The 15,622-nt window shown below is 48.0% G+C and overlaps 1 protein-coding gene and 1 long non-coding RNA gene across 2 annotated transcripts in view; one reads left to right on the forward strand and one right to left on the reverse strand.

Moving 5' to 3' along the window:
- TMEM132D (transmembrane protein 132D) overlaps nucleotides 4,008–15,622 on the reverse strand; it is an 832,300-nt gene continuing 820,685 nt past the window's right edge. The window contains exons 7-9 of the mRNA NM_133448.3: nucleotides 14,041–14,314; nucleotides 10,816–11,007; nucleotides 4,008–7,341 (exon numbers count right to left, since the gene is read on the reverse strand). Coding sequence (NP_597705.2) covers nucleotides 6,157–7,341; nucleotides 10,816–11,007; nucleotides 14,041–14,314 — 1,651 coding nt within the window. The 3' untranslated portion in view covers nucleotides 4,008–6,156. The remainder of the gene's footprint in view (nucleotides 7,342–10,815; nucleotides 11,008–14,040; nucleotides 14,315–15,622) is intronic.
- LOC124903086 (uncharacterized) lies at nucleotides 6,038–15,057 on the forward strand. Its single transcript, XR_007063612.1, has 3 exons — nucleotides 6,038–6,123; nucleotides 7,188–7,357; nucleotides 14,731–15,057. It is a non-coding gene; the product is annotated as an uncharacterized LOC124903086 (long non-coding RNA).

A 15,622-nucleotide genomic window follows, 5' to 3' on the forward strand; every position in this document is an offset into this window, starting at 1 on the left:
AGGACTTTTTCTGAACATGCTGGGAGTTAACTGTCTTTGCTCTGCAACTGTTACCCGCACAACTTTAATAACAAGTCTAGAGCTTCCGGAGGCTGCTACGTAGAATGGGCTGTCCGAGAATGAAGACAAATAGGCAAATATAGAGGAAAACAGAGAGAGGAGAAGAGACAGGGAGCCCCTGGGCCAACCATCCGGGATGGATGTTGGATGCACTGCTGCTTGTTCCATCCTAGAAAGTAACACATCCTCTTCCTCACTCCTGCTATTTTTCCCTTAAGCCCACTTTATTTTTTCAATCACTTGCAATAAAAGGATTCTCTTTAAAGCAAACAGGAAGACAGAACTTCTTCTCTGCCATGGGGACTTCTTTTTCCCTGGAGTGGATGGGAATGTGCCCCCCAGGAAGATATGTTGAAGTCTTACCCCTTAATCCCTGTGAATGTGACCTTATCTGGAAATAGGGTCTTTGCAGATGTAATCAAGGTAAGATGAGGTCATATGAATTAGGGTATATCCAAAATCCAGCGACTGAATGTCTTAAGAAAACTTGGACACAAAGACTCGCAGGGAGAGGACCGTGCGATGACAGAGGCAGGGGGTAGAGTGATGTATCCACCAGCCAGGAGACCCCAGATTGTCGCGAGCCACCGGAAGCTGGAAGAGGAGGCATGGGGCTGATTTGGCCTCATAACACCTGGAAGGAACCACCTCTGCCGACACCTCGACTTTGGACTTTCTGCCTTCAGAATGGTGAGAGAATAAATTTCGGTTGCTGTGAGCAGCCCTGTTTGCAGTGATTTGTTATGACGGCCCCAGGAAACCAATACATCTCCCAAAACACATGCAGCCTTTGTACCCAGGACAGACCCTGCATTCTCCTCTCTCTGACTTTCTGATGAACAGATCAGCATGTTTTCCCATATACTCATATCGTTTGGGGTCAGATGTGGGGAAGGCGTGTCACAGTGTGCTTGAGAAGAAGGACCTGTTGGCCAGGCAGAGATTCCTCCGATCCAAGTCACTACTGCATCGGGCCTCTGGCCTGTCGCCCTTCTCGCCTCTGCCTCCCCTCTCCACCCCCTGGATCAGTCATCCACAGTAATCACTGGCTCAGAGGATGCCAGTCTCCACTGGGGGACACCCCGGACCCATCCGTCTTCCTGCCAGAGCATCATTTGCTGCTGCAAGGGCAAAACAAAGGGGGGCAAGGAGCTAATGACTGCACCTTGGGAAGCGCCAGTTGGGTAATTAATTCACAGTTCTGAGCTTTCCCAGAAGGAAAAAGATAAATTGTTCACTTGCACTCCCAGGGTGTCCTAGCAGAGACTCATTTGTAAAACGGGTGTGAAACCGAGGGTAGGGCGAGGCTCTGAGGGATGAGATGCATTCCTGGAAGGCCAGTGGGCCCCACCAGCCCAGTGCCAGGGCAGTCACAACTGGCTGCCCTCGGCTTGTGCACAGGCTTAGCTGCCCAGGACCTTAGGACCAGAGGCTGGTGTTACGGATTGAACTGTGTCTCCCCCGACCCCAAATTCATAGTGGAAATCCTAATGCCCAGTATCAGAGGACAATCTTGTATGGAAATAGGGTCATTGCAGATGTAATTAGTTGAGATGAGGTCATACTGGAGTAGAGTGGGCCCTGGCTTCCTTGGGGAAATTTGGAGCCGGGCATGGTGGCTTATCCTGTAATCCCAGCACTTTGGGAGGCCAAGGCGGGATGATTGCTTGAGGGCAGGAGTTCGAGACCAGCCTGGGCAACATAGTGAGACCCCATATTTACAAAAAATTTTAAAAATTAGCTAGGTGTGGTGGTGTGTGGCTGTAGTCCCAGCTACTTGAGAGGCTAGGGTGGGAGGATTGCTTGAGCCCAGGAGGTCGAGGCAGCAGTGAGCGTTGATCACACAACTGTATTCCAGCCTGGGTAGCAAAGTGAGATCCCTGTCTCACAAAAAAGAAGAAATTCGGACACAGACACACACACAGGGAGTCTGTCACATGAAGACGAAGGCAGAGATCAGAGTGATGCTTCTACAAGCCAAGGACTACCAAGATGCCAGCAACCGCAGGAGCTGGGAGAGGCCTGGAGGAGTTCCCCCACAAACCCTCCGAGGGAACCAGCTCTGCCGACACGCTGAGCTCAGACTTCAGGCTTCCAGAAAAGTGAAGCAATACATTTCTGTTATTAAAGCTGCCCAGTTTGTGGTATTTAGTTAGTTATGGTAAAGTACCTGTAGCCGGAGTCCAGGGAGGGAACTGAGAAGCCGCGAGGGACAGGCCCCCAACGGAGATGCTGATGAGGCCGGCAGCCTTCCAGCTTCCAGCGCCATCTTCCTTGGGAGTTTGGGAAACTCAGTGCCTCCAGGGGCCCCGCAGGTGGCGTCAAAGAGCGAACCAGCCAGGTGCAAGAGAAACCAAGCCGCATCACTTATTTATTCACACTCGAAAAGACACCTCGTGGACATTTCAGTTAAGACTTTCCTATCAGTTCTTTCTCAGATTCTGGGCACATAGATCGCATGACGGTTTGCATCATAATGGCGTCTTCAGTTGTGTTCTTTAGACATGACATTCTATATTTGCCTAGGAGACACACAGGATTTTTCTTCCCTTTTGTAAAGCAATGAGCTCTTTCTGAATGATCTTGAAAACACACGGCTCCTTCCCTCTCTGTTTCCCCCACTTTTGGGTAGAGCTGTGACTTGGGAGAAACACTTCTGTATTAGAAGAGTGGTGAGAGGGAGCATAAATGGAGTTGGTCAACTCTGGGTCCAGAAGACATCGTGGGTGGAGAGGACTCGAAACCTCAGTGCCACTCTGCCCCATCGAGGCCAAGTCAGATTGGAAGCCCCATTTTGCCAGTGTCTGAATTCTTAAGCGATGCTAGAAATCTAGATTTCTAAGGTGAAATCATCAAAGTTTTGAATGTTGGCTCAATTTTCTCCATTCTGCAACCAGTTTCATTGTCTTTTACAAAACTTATGACTGGCTGGGTTCCGTGGCTCACACCTGTAATCCCAGCACTTTGGGAGGCCGAGGTGGGAGGATTGCTTGAGCCCAGGAGTTCAAGATCAGCCTGGGCAACATAGCAAGACCCCCATATCTACAAAAAGTACAAAAATTCACTGAGTGTGGTGGCATGTTCCTGTAGTCCCAGCTACTCGGGAGGCTGAGGTTGGGAGGATCACTTGAGCACTCAGGAGGCAGAGGTTTTAGTGAGCTGAGATTGTGCCACTGCGCTCCAGCCTGGGCAACAAGACAGAGCAAGACCCTGTCTCAAAGCAAAAACAAACAAACAAAAAAACCCATGACTATCTGAAATTATTTTGTTTGCTGTTTATTCCCCCTACCCAAATAGATATAAGTAAGGTTTTGGAGAGTGCATGTGCATTTGCTGTATGTGTGACTCTGTCTCTAGTGCTCACAGCTATTCCTGCTACAGAGTAGAGTAGCTGCTCAGTAAATACTGGCTGAATAAATGATTGACCTATCAATCACTTGCTATTGTTTGCATGAATATAAGGATTCCATGCATCTTCTTGTTTCGTAGAATTGTCTTGGGGCTGCAGTTGATAAAGGAATCTACAATCAACTTTTTAACCCAGTCCAGAGTTGTTGTATGTACACTCGAGACCCAAAGGAAGGACAGAGAATTTTCCTCACCTCAGCCCAAAAGGAGGCTGGAATGCATGCTTGCCTGCCACAGTTTCCACTTACTTACCACCATCAGTCAGCAGGCTTTTAGGAGAGAATTGCACGTGTGATTTATTTGCAAATCCTTTCAGGTCCTGGAGGAGAGATACTTGGTACACAATGCACTTTGTCATCACGTGTCAACATCCCCTCAATGCAGGGAGCAGCACTACACGATGTAAAGGTGGAACTGGATTGTGCTGGGATCCTTCAATCAGCATTTCATTTAGAGCTGCAGCATTTGCAGAGCCATTTGCAATTGATGCCAGCCCCTTGGAGGGGGTCAGCGTGTAGAAGACAAAGGACAGCCATAAAGCCACTGAATGCAAACTTTATATTTACAGTCAGTAAGTTTATAAATATATATTACATTCTTACAATCTACAGTACATTCTACACGCAGATGGATTTGGAAGCGGGCAGCGGCTGCAGTATTCAACAGAACATGACACAGGTAAGAATGGAAAGAAATATGAGGACGTTACTGAAAGCAAAGGATTCTCATTGAAAAGGGGTGACAGCTTAATCACCCAACCAAACAAGGTAGGTAAGCTTGCGGACAGGAGCAGGTGACTTACTGGCTGCAGAAACCTCAGTCTCAAGAGCACCACAGTTGCAGGGGAGAGGGCTAAGGTTGGGAGGGTAAACTGGTGAAATTTACACACACATGATCTAAAGAGAATTCAATTCTATGGAGAGGAAGAAGGAGTAAAGACACACACTCAAAATTACAGAGATGAGATGGAGAGGAAGCAGGGAGAAGATAGGTTCAAAGGAGGAGAGAGATACAGAGACAGACACACAGAGAGACTGGAAAACAGACAACTGAAGAGCAGAGAGAGAGAGAAAATGACCAGAGGGAAAAATAGAAGATCAATTCAACAGCACGGCCTCTTCTGCCCACCACCCGCTGCCCCCGACCATCTTTTGCAGGATCCTATCTGGCTGGCAATCACCCAACACACCATTCTCTACCTTGGAGTGAGCGTGAGATGAGGCAGGAATTCTCTGATGTATCCTTGCCCCCATCTTCATAGGCTTCATAAGTGAAGGGATTCAGGGATATCCAGAGTCATGGCTGGTCTTAAGCAATGCTGAACCTTTCGGGGCTGACTGCAGGACCAAGTGCTTGCAAACCTGCATCTTCACCACATGCACTGATGCCCCTTATCCCTTCGCACCTCCAAGATGAAGAAGGTTTCTGTGCTGTCCGGTGTGTGTGAGGCTGGGCTTCCTGCTGGATCCACCACTTTCACACCCAGAACCCCCCCAACTCCACACGCCCTGCACGTTCCACACAGGCACCCCGATTTGTCTCAACAGCCTCGAGGCCACATCTTTGGACAGGAGATCTGCCATGAACAGTGAAAGACCCATCCCAAGTGGCCCTGTTTTCTTTCTAGTAAAGCAAGGGAATGTATATCCCCTGGTATGGAATTCACCGTGACTACCGCCCATGCCTAGAGACCAGCCTCTTCAAAGACGGACGGCGTGGGACATATGCCCAGGTTGCGGGGGGAGCTTCTCTACAGAATGTCACTTGGGAGTTGACACAAAACCCAGGGGGAGAAAAAAGACCCAGCAAATACTACAAACTGCCCTCTCCCTCCCCCACCCACAGGTGACCAACGGCTTTGGGGAGGATGGCAATGCAGTGGAGGAATAGAAATGGATACATTGTGAACTTGATATGAATCAAAAGAGCGTGGTTCTTTGAACCTGATTCAAATTCTATGCCCAGTATCCTTAGTTTACAAATAAAGAAGTACCCTGAAGGGCTCAGAGGATTTGCGTCCATGTGTTTGTCCTTGGCATGTAGTTACAAAGGTATTTGTGGCCTGTTAGCCCACATGTTCCCTTTCAGTCCTTGTCAGCCACTTCCTTGGCCTGTCCATGATCTGAGACAGCTCTGGCCCAGCCTTTGAGAGACAATGACTCACAATCATGCCTCCCACAGCTGACGGCGGCACTGGACTGCCTGTGATCGCGCTCACAGCAAGATGTGCTGCTCCAGTTTCGATGACACGCTTCCTCCCATTGATCCATGGATGCGATCCATGGATGCTCCACCTGAGTTGTACTTTTCTTCCATAGTCTGCAATATTGAATATTGGAGCCATGTGGATTTTACAATATCCAAATTGCTTTGATTCGAGAGAGAGAGGCTGTTCTTTCCTGGACGCTCTCAGACGCTCAGTGATTCAGAACTCGTTTTTGTTTCAAGTCTTAAAAATCTTGCCATGCATGATAAACCTCTTAAGCAAGACACTGTACTCTGGAATGTGTGCGTCGATGCGGACTCCAGGCCTCGCCGCCGAGCCGGGGTCATTGGCTGAGGCTGTATGGATAGTGTCATCCTTATTTTGTCCTGCTGCTTTGTTTCTCTTCCGGGGGCACCGTTGCTACACATCCTGGAATTAAAGGCTGAAAGGTGAGTGAGAACCAATGTCTGTGTGTGTCTGGCTTACACATTTTCATGTAACCTCTCCATGTAGTTGTGCAGCTCTTTGCAGTCCCCAGGGTCCAGATCCTGGCAGACCCACTTAATGTCATCCTCGCTACTCATCACGATGGAGTTCCTGGTGGGGTACTCGTCGTCTGAGGAGACGGCGGTGAAGGTGGTAAATTTTACCCTTTTCCTTTTTGAGGTAGGGGATGTTGGGGGCTCACTTTTCTGATCTTTCCCATCAATGATGATGGGTCCCAAAGGTTTGAACAGCTGCCCATTGATGCTTTTTTGGGAGTTTGTGCTGAGGAGATATTTACTTTCCTCGAAATCCATGCCCCTGTCAATGGCAGTGATTTGCTCATCTTGCGAGGAGGCAAAGTTGATGTGATTCTCCAACAGCTCTGTCCGGTTGCTTAACCCAACCCAGTCATGAGAGTGACTCATCCCTTCCTGCTCCTCGAAGGGAACCTGTTTGTGTCTGTATTTTAATGCAAAGGTCACACAGTTTATCAAGAAGACCAAAATGGCCAAACAGAAGACTCCCAACAAAGCATACATCCCAATTTCTAAGTCGCTCAGCCCTTTGGATGCCTGCATAAGGTCATTCCCATCCATTTCCCCATTGCTTCTGGGGAGGTCCACCTGGGCTGGGAAGCTGGTGAGGTCGCTGGGGATGGTCTGCAAGTGGCTGTTGTCATCTAAAAGGCTTTCCTGGCCTTTCTTCTTCTGCAGGATGGACCTGTCTGTCGTGGTGCCCCGTCCCTCCATGAGTCCCATAGAAGAACTGCCATAGTACTGTCCTTCCTGACTCCCCCATTCCTGCGAGGGTTTTTTGGGCCTTCTGTCACTGACATTGTTTTCCATGTGAACCCCTGCCCCTGTGTGTCTGCTGTCACTGGTGTTGGGGTTAGCATCGTTTTGGCCAAATTTAACTTTGATGTTTGCCGTTCCAACAGCTAACACACTCTTCCGCTTGGATTTCTGGCAGGATTCACTAATAACCATTTCCACCTTGACCAGGGTGCCTTGTCCTTCTGTTTCCGCAGCAATGATAGGCCACTTGAATTTGGGGTCTTGGTGGATGGAGACTACCTTCTCATCCAAAGATGTGGCCATCAAGGAGAAGTCTTTCCCATCGTAAATATCCAAGGGCGTGACTGAGCCATCACTGAACTGGACCCAGCAACTGATGGCTGCTTCCTATGGAGAAAAATATGTAAGTTAATCAAATGGGCCAAAAAGCTCATTGAGCCCCAAGTCTTAGTACAGTAGACACACAACGGCAAAACTATTGCTACAAGAACAAAGACAAACCTTTCAAACAGTGTAGAAATAAGCGATAAGAAGTACCAAGAGTATAAAAGAAAATGAATTCTCACAAAGATGCAAAAAAGCAAAATAAAACAACAACAAAATGACAAAACAGGGCCAGTATTAAACAATCCGTAAGAAGATTTGCTTTTTTTTTTTTTCTCCTGTAGGTGTTGTTATAAAAGGAAGATGGGCCCTTGGGCTGTTCAGAATCAACTTCTGAACAATAATAAATTGCACGACAAAGGAAATTACTGGTTAGTGGAATCATTTACAAGTGTTACACATTCAAATGAAAAATATTTATTACATTATTTTTAAGTTGTAATACTGAGTCTCCACTGATTACTGGCAATACAGATAAAAGCCTCTGATCTAGATGAGGTCCCACTGCAGGGCTGCAGGCTGTGGTTTTGCCAGCCCTGCCTTTTCTGGGTCTGCAGGAGTGGATCTGTCCTGGCCTCAGGCCATAGTCTTGGCTTGGAGGGAGGAGTTAAGCCTGACAGCAGGAGAGGGAGAAGCATCTTGATTGGAGAGTCTTCATCTCTTCCTCCACCCAACCCAACTGGAGGAAACTGGAAGACCAAAAAGCAGCCAGAGCTTGTTTTCACTTTGTTGATTTAGACCAACTTTCTTTGCAAATAGTTTGACCAGGCAGATCATTGGAGATAACCTCCAATTTCATGCCAGCCTTTAATTTTAGTGAAGATGACATTATGCTTGACAGCAGTGGCAGATCCATTGCTTCCTCCCTCCCTCCCTCCCTCTCAGAGAACCTGCTCCGCCCCAAGCCCGAGATGATGAACAGCACTAGGTGGCCCATGACCCTGCCCGCTGGGCCACAGCAACAGCTGATTGAAATGAGACAGCTGCTGCCATTAGAGCCATCAATCTCAGCAATGCTGAGCCAGCCAGCATTACTCTCTCTCTCTCGAACTTGAAACCAGAAAGACAAGACTGACAAAGTTATGCTTGGGAAGATGTGTAGTGGGGGCACATATAAAATTGGGGAATGAAGCCCTCTGATGGACTATGTATAAGCAAATGTTTGGGCATGGCATTTATCCATAGGAAGACAATAATGAATTAGACCAAAATAAAAACACAGGTGAGAGAGAGAGTGGGCATGAAAGTGCTGACCTTCCCTTTCCTCCAAGGTCTTGCAGCTGGGTTCTGTGAGATCCCTATAATCCTCATAACACATCCTTTGTTATTTAAGCTTTTGCTTGAGTGGATTTTTTTTTCTCTTATGACCTACTGGCCCCTGACCATGACAGAAGTAATTTTACACAGTTGTTGTTTAGTCTTTGGAAGTAAGAAGAAAGTCTCCTCAAATGTGGCTGGTGGCCTCTGCTCTTTCCTTCAGCTCAGCCAAGAAATACTTATTCTGTTAGACACTGGCTTGGACTACCTGCTAAGCGGATAACCTTGCCAAGGCACAGTGCAAAAGCTACTGGACATGACACTGACTTACCAGGTTCTCTCAATCGGCCATGAAATCTGAGCAGAGCATTCAAACGCACAACGGAGTTCTTGAAACTACCACTGTCAGAGCCAAGTTGCAGGCAGGGAGTAAGAGCCCTGCAAACCAACCATGGAGCAAATCTCAGGGTAGCGTGTTTAGCTCTGCATGTCAGGAACGGATTAGCCTTCTGGCCTTCTTCTAGCTGCATCTTATCCCTTCCTTAACGCCTAGCTGGTGGTCCGCTGATGTTATCACCCACAAAGACAGAGAAAAGCCTCAGGTTATTTCTTCATTGCTATCTGTAACTTGCCTCTCGGCTGGCATCCTTCCTTGAGAAAAGGAGGTTTGCTTTGGCCAAGAATTCGATTCTGTTATTGGGATCAACCACTTTCAAGTGTTTTCTAACCCAAAACTCTGCAAACAAAGACTGTAGTATAAGGACTAGGAGATTAGCTCATGCCTGAGAGGGGAGCATTATGTGACAGGTGCAGGCTGGGAAAATGGGAAGGCTCTTTGTGCCCCTTAGCAAGTCCAGTGTGGCACTCCTGCCTCCTCTGAACATGGCCACAGCCGCAGCTGGTGCATGAAGGCAGGGAAGGCCTGGTACCTCACCCTGCCGAGGAAGAGTGCGCAGAAAAGGCTCCTGATCCAGAAGGGAAGCAGTCAGAACAATGTCCCATATGGGCCGGAGGGATTCCAGCTGCCCCACATGAGGATGATCCCTTTTCATGGGGCAAAAGAACTAATGACCTGCAACCACCATGTTTTGTTATTAAGCAAGCTTCACCCAAATTCCTATGTTCTAAGAAATAATGTTTATCCACCTCTAATGAGGGAGAACTTACTACATTCAAAGGTCCCCTATAACAGTCCCCTTTGTAAGCCATTGTATCCACATACAAACACATGCATCACACACATACACACAACACACATACACATATACATGCACACAGGCACCTATACAACACAAGCATACACACAACAGAAAATACACAAGACACACATGCATACGGACACACATAAAGCAAAAACATATATGACACAGACCCACAACACACACACATATGCACACATACAAACAACAAATAGACACATGCAATGCATACATACAACACACGATACATTCACAACACACATATATACATGCATACAGGTGCCTATACAACACAAGCACACATGCAACACACAACACAAAACAAGCAACACAAAATACTGACACAAGACACACACATGCATACACAGACACACAAAAACAACATATATGTACACAACACATAGACACACAACACACATATACATATGCACACAACACACAAAACACACTCTATTAGCTCACACTGGTTCCAAATAAAGTAAAAGAAAATTGTGACTGACATCTCCATGAATTCTCTGTTTCTGCCTTGAGCTGAACAATGAATGGTCTGGAAGCGATCTCCCGCCACAGGCTCCCCACTCAGCAGGTCTGTCACCCTCCGCTCCAGCAGGACCTTGGCATCAGGCTGTGCACCTGCTCTGAGCCTGCACGTGCCCTCATGCCCTCATGGAAGCAGGAAGCGTGTGGAGAGCACAGGTGACCACCTGCATGCACTTGCACTATGGTGGATGAGGGGTGGGCCTTTCCTCCAGGGCTCCTGCCCCTTAATGGCTTCTCATTTTTCACATGTTGCAATCCTTATGTATATATGTATTTATTTTTTTCATCTCTGCATGGGGGAGCTGGGAAACATGAGGCAGAGGAGTCACCTGCTTCAGAAGAGCCCTTTGCAGATGGAGAAACAAACGCCCGATATATGATCCCACTCTATTGTGCGACCCGCCTGGCGTGGTGCCTGCCTGGTGTGTGATCCACTTGGTGAGGGACCCTGCTGAAGTGTGTCTCAAGCCCTCCTCCATACCTGTTTTGGCCTCTGCAGAAGTTCCTGAGCCACTGCAGTGGCAAAGATGGCCCTGTTGCTTCCTGGGCTGAGCTGCAAGGAGAGTGACAGCCCTGTCACCAGCTGCACCCCGAGGTCTGTGATGGTCACCTTCTCGTCCAGCACAGTGATGGTCTTTTCAGCGAGGATGGTGTCTGACAGAGGAGACAGGATCTGGAGGGCAGAAGCGACATGACAAGGAAAGGCTTTCTGTGGTCCAGGCAATGCCTCCAGTCACAGGAGGAAGTGCCAGTGTGCAGGCAGCGGCAGGGCAACATGTGAGCCAGAATGAATGAGAACAGGCCTTTCCCACTCACACCACCTTCTGAATCATATGTATTGCTTGAGAAAATGTAATGCATTTTTTGCATAAAGCAAGGTGGTGTCAAGGAGTGGGCAGGTAGGGCTTGGCCCTCTCCCCACACCCCACACATCAGCTCCGTTTCCCACCATGCTCCATCCTGGACAGGAGGAACTGACGTTTTCATTCGACTATTAGCTTTATGATTCTTCTACAGCACAGTGTGTATTTTGTTTAAAATTATTTATTTTACTTAAATGATTTGTTTTTTTCAAAAGCCTTCCTATCACCAGTGAATGACGGGTTGGGTGTACTGGTTACATATTGATAGCTTTCGCTCTTGCACATAAAAACCAATGTGCAACTAGAAGGCGGATCCTGCTGGTCCATCTCAATCACGCGTGTCACTGGAGGCCACACTGTACACTTTGGGAAACGCAGCGCATGATGCCTGTTGATGAGGAATATCGTTGGGCATATTCTGATAAACGTAGGTTCTGAATGTCTACGCCTGATGCCCACAACCCAAAGCCTCATTTCTCCTCTGGACACCTGGAATGACCTGGAAAATGAGGCTTATGTGCAATTTAGACCCTGAACAGGAAATCCTGCTTTTGAGGAACGTCTGTGGAATCACTTCTTCCTCCTCTCACCCTTCGCCCAAATGATAAACAGCTGTCTTAGACTCCTCACAGCCCCGTATAACAACCTTCCTTCTAGAAGAGATGGGCTTCATCCTCCATTCTCCTGCTTTCTCGACCTCTTTCTCTTTTCAAGTTTTTGGTGATATTTATGATGTAGGTCAAGACAGCAGTTTTCCCAGGACCCTTTGAGACCAGGAATCAAAGCTCCATACTTCTACCCGAATGCCACCTTCACTTTCTGGTCCGATTGGGACAATTTAAATGGTGGCGAGCATGAGAGGTGTGTCCCCAGAAGAAAGTGGACAAGTGAATTTATGACTCAGGAGGACACAGTGAGAAAAAAGAGAAAAGAACCAAGGCTCGCAGGAGTAGAGGCCTCACCAAAATAATGTTCATGTTTAATGTGTGGGAAGCTGGCCCACTTCCTCTTCCCTGACACCTGGTTTCAGAACGGTATGGCTTTTCCCCTTTGCACTTAAATTATCACTTAAGGGAAGATGTTAATACCAAATTCTCATCTCGCTGTGAGTTTCTGGGCATCAGTATCAGTTTAGCCTATAGATTTATGGTAGGGATTCAGGTCTTTCAACTTCTTAGTCAATTGTGGAGGTTGCAAGCTCTCATCTATGAGACAGATATGTTTTGTCTGACATAAATCATATTTTAAGGTAGAATTAATGACCATCATTTAGAGAGCCAGAAGATTGCATATAAAAACAGACTTCCAGCTTTTCTGGAAAATTGCAACATATGGCTGCAGTAGACTTGCGTTTCTTCTTGGCAGCTTTTGGCTCTGAGTAAGAGCTTGCCCCTTTTCCACAGGCACCACCACTCCCTGTTGTCTCTCTAACACTCAGAGGAAAATCAGCTGCTGTCTGTCTTTCAGCACACACCCAGCCTACTCTCCTCACTGATGGTAGCTTCTCAGCCTTTAGAGATCATTAGAGCATGCGACTCCTGGTCTACGGCCCAAACCCATTTATTTTCCTCCTTGGATAAAATGAAGTGTTAGATATACCAGCCAATTTTCCAGAATGGATATGTTTTAAATCTTCCACGATCCAATCTAGTCTCAGTTATAATGATTCCTCATGCACAGCTGTTTTAGAAACCTCACAGATTGCCTGATAAGACAATCGCATTGCCTGCAGATGGGGCAGCTGCTGAGTAATACACTCTTCCTTTGGCTACAATGTACACTATTTGGGTGATGGCTACACTAACAAGGCAGACACGCAATATGTCCAGGTAACAAAGCTGCACTTGCACCCCTTACATGTACACAGAAAGAAAACAATCTCTTGCTTTGTTCTCAGCTGGGAGGTAAATGACCAAACCCTTACAAGCCTCCCAGAACACTGTTTTGTTAAAGTGTTTCAAAACCCAAGTGTTGCCACTGGTCCTCTCCGTCACCCGCTCCCCAGCAGAAGGGGCCCACGAGACATATGGAGGCACAATCACTTCACTTCGTCCTTTAGCACATTTCTGAGTTGTTCAGGTTCTCATCAGGCCCGCGGCTGTGACTCGGTAGGGGCGGCCACAATATCCTGAAGCCGTGGGAAGGTTTAGGTGACCATGCTCAGTGGCGGAAAGTGGCTCAGCAGGAAGTTGCTGGCCGTGCCTGTGATTCAGATCAGGTAAGCTCACCTCAAAAGCTTGTTTACCAAGATGGTAACGCCTACCATGGCTTGGGCAAAATCATGTGTTTCAAGCGTGAGCCACCATGGGAGCCAGCCCAGAGTTTCTCCCCTATAAGTAATATGTGAGGAATTTTGAGATTCTCATCACATCATTACATGGCTTGCATTGTGGTTTTGTCTGAGATGGGGTCTAGCTCCATCATCCAGGTTGGAGTGTAGTGGCACGATCTCAGATCGCTGCAACCTCTGCTTCCCAGGCCCGAGCGATCCTTGCACCTCAGCCTCCCGAGTAGCTGGGACCACAGGCATGCACCACCACACTCGGGTAATTTTTTGTATTTTTGGTAGAGATGGGGTTTCGCCATGTTACCCAGGCTAATCGCAAACTACTGAGCTCATGACCTGCCCGCCTCGGCCTCCCAAAGTGCTGGGATTATAAGCGTGAACCACCACACCCAGCCAAAATCGCTTGTATTGCTTACTCCACAATTTCTTTGAATTTACCCATCCTAAAAATAGATACCATTCCCAGCAATGACAAACAGCTGGTTTCTCCTCTAGGTAGAGCAGAGGTGGGAAGACAGAGAGATCTTGATTTGGGGATTTTTTTTTTTTTTTTTACCTGAATGGTGGTCATCCCAAGCTCCTGCCCCATCAGGATCTGTCCGCCTTGCAGCTTGGCGATCCTGGGCTCCTCCACCTGCATGAAGTCATTTATCAGCTCCGTGATGTCCACTTGCCAGTCTGAGCCCAGCAGGTGGGCCAGGTGTCCCCCAGGGCCGGCCGCCTCAGCCACAAACTGCGTCAGGACCCGCACCATGGCGTGCTGGTACTGCAGGGTGCAGCCGCGGCCCCTCCGCTCATCATCCTCCTCCTCTTCACTGTCCCCGGCAGGCCTGTGAAAGAAGCAGTGCAGTTTGCAGACAGTTACTTGTTGGTCCTCTGTAAGGGGCCGTGTGTGGAGCCTGGTGGGGGCTGCAGAGGTAGGTAGGCCATGAGACTTCAAGGAGTTTATAGCCAGACATGCAGAGGTGAACTTCAGATACTAACCACTGCTCTGGCATGAGCACTGACCCATCAGCATGGCCGGTGCAGCCAGCAGAGTTTAAAGTGTTCACAGTGGCCCCTCACCTCCTGGTGAGGGGTTTACTACTTTGTGTAAACCTCTCCCTTTGAGTGTGGGCTGGACCTAGTTTCTTTCATCCAATGAAAAAGTTATGGCAAAAGTGATTGGATGGTCACTTTCCTGGCTAGACTTGAAAAGCCTGTGACTTCTGTCTTGCTTGTGTTTTCTTTCCTTGGTTCTTTGCAGTTGCTCACTCTGATGAAGTGAGGTGCATGCTGTGAGCCAAGCTGTAGAGATTTCCACCCAGCTAGAAGCTGAGAGTGACCTCTGGCCAGCACCAGTGAGGAACTGAGACTAGCCAGCAACCGCACGAGTGAGCCTGCATGTAGATCCTTCCCCACATGAGCCTTGAGATGGGACCCCAGCCCCACTGACACTTGGACTGCAGCCTGTAAGAGACCCTGCTCAGAAGACCCAGCTCAGCCATGCCTGGATTCCAGATCCACAGAAACTGTTTGATAATACGTGTTGTTCTTTCTCTTTTTGTGACAGGGTCTTGCTCTGTCACCCAGGCTGGAGTGCAGTGGTGCAATTTCAGCTCACTGCAGCCTCGAACTGCTGGACTCAAGCAATCCTTCCACTCCAGCCTCCTGAATAGCTTGGACTACTGTGCAAGCCACCATGCCTGGCTAATTTTTAAAATTTTATGTAGAGATGTGGTCTTGCTGTGTTGCCCAGGCTCAAACTCCTGAGCTTAAGCCATCTGCCTGCCTCGGCCTCCCAAAGTGCTGGGACTACAGGCATGAGCCACCATGCCTGGCCAGCATGTTGTTCTTTTAAACCACATTAACTTTGGGGATAAGTTTTAAACCACTAAGGTTTGGGATAAGCCACTACGTTAGACAGAATGGATAGCTAACATGACAAGGCTAGGGATGAGTGGTGTGGCTCTGTAACCCAGCACACAAAGCAGGTGAATATGTAACCCAAGGTGAGGCCAAATGTGATAAGAAAGGCAGAGAGGGCCAGGATGCTTGGAAGGAGACAGATGTCAGCTGCTCCCTCAACATCTGGTCCCTTCTGTGCAGTTTGCCCTTTGATGGCACCTTCTCGGTCTCCATCAGAACAGCAGCTGTTC

The sequence above is a fragment of the Homo sapiens genome, chromosome 12, assembly GCF_000001405.40.
Source record: "Homo sapiens chromosome 12, GRCh38.p14 Primary Assembly".
NCBI lineage: Eukaryota > Metazoa > Chordata > Mammalia > Primates > Hominidae > Homo > Homo sapiens.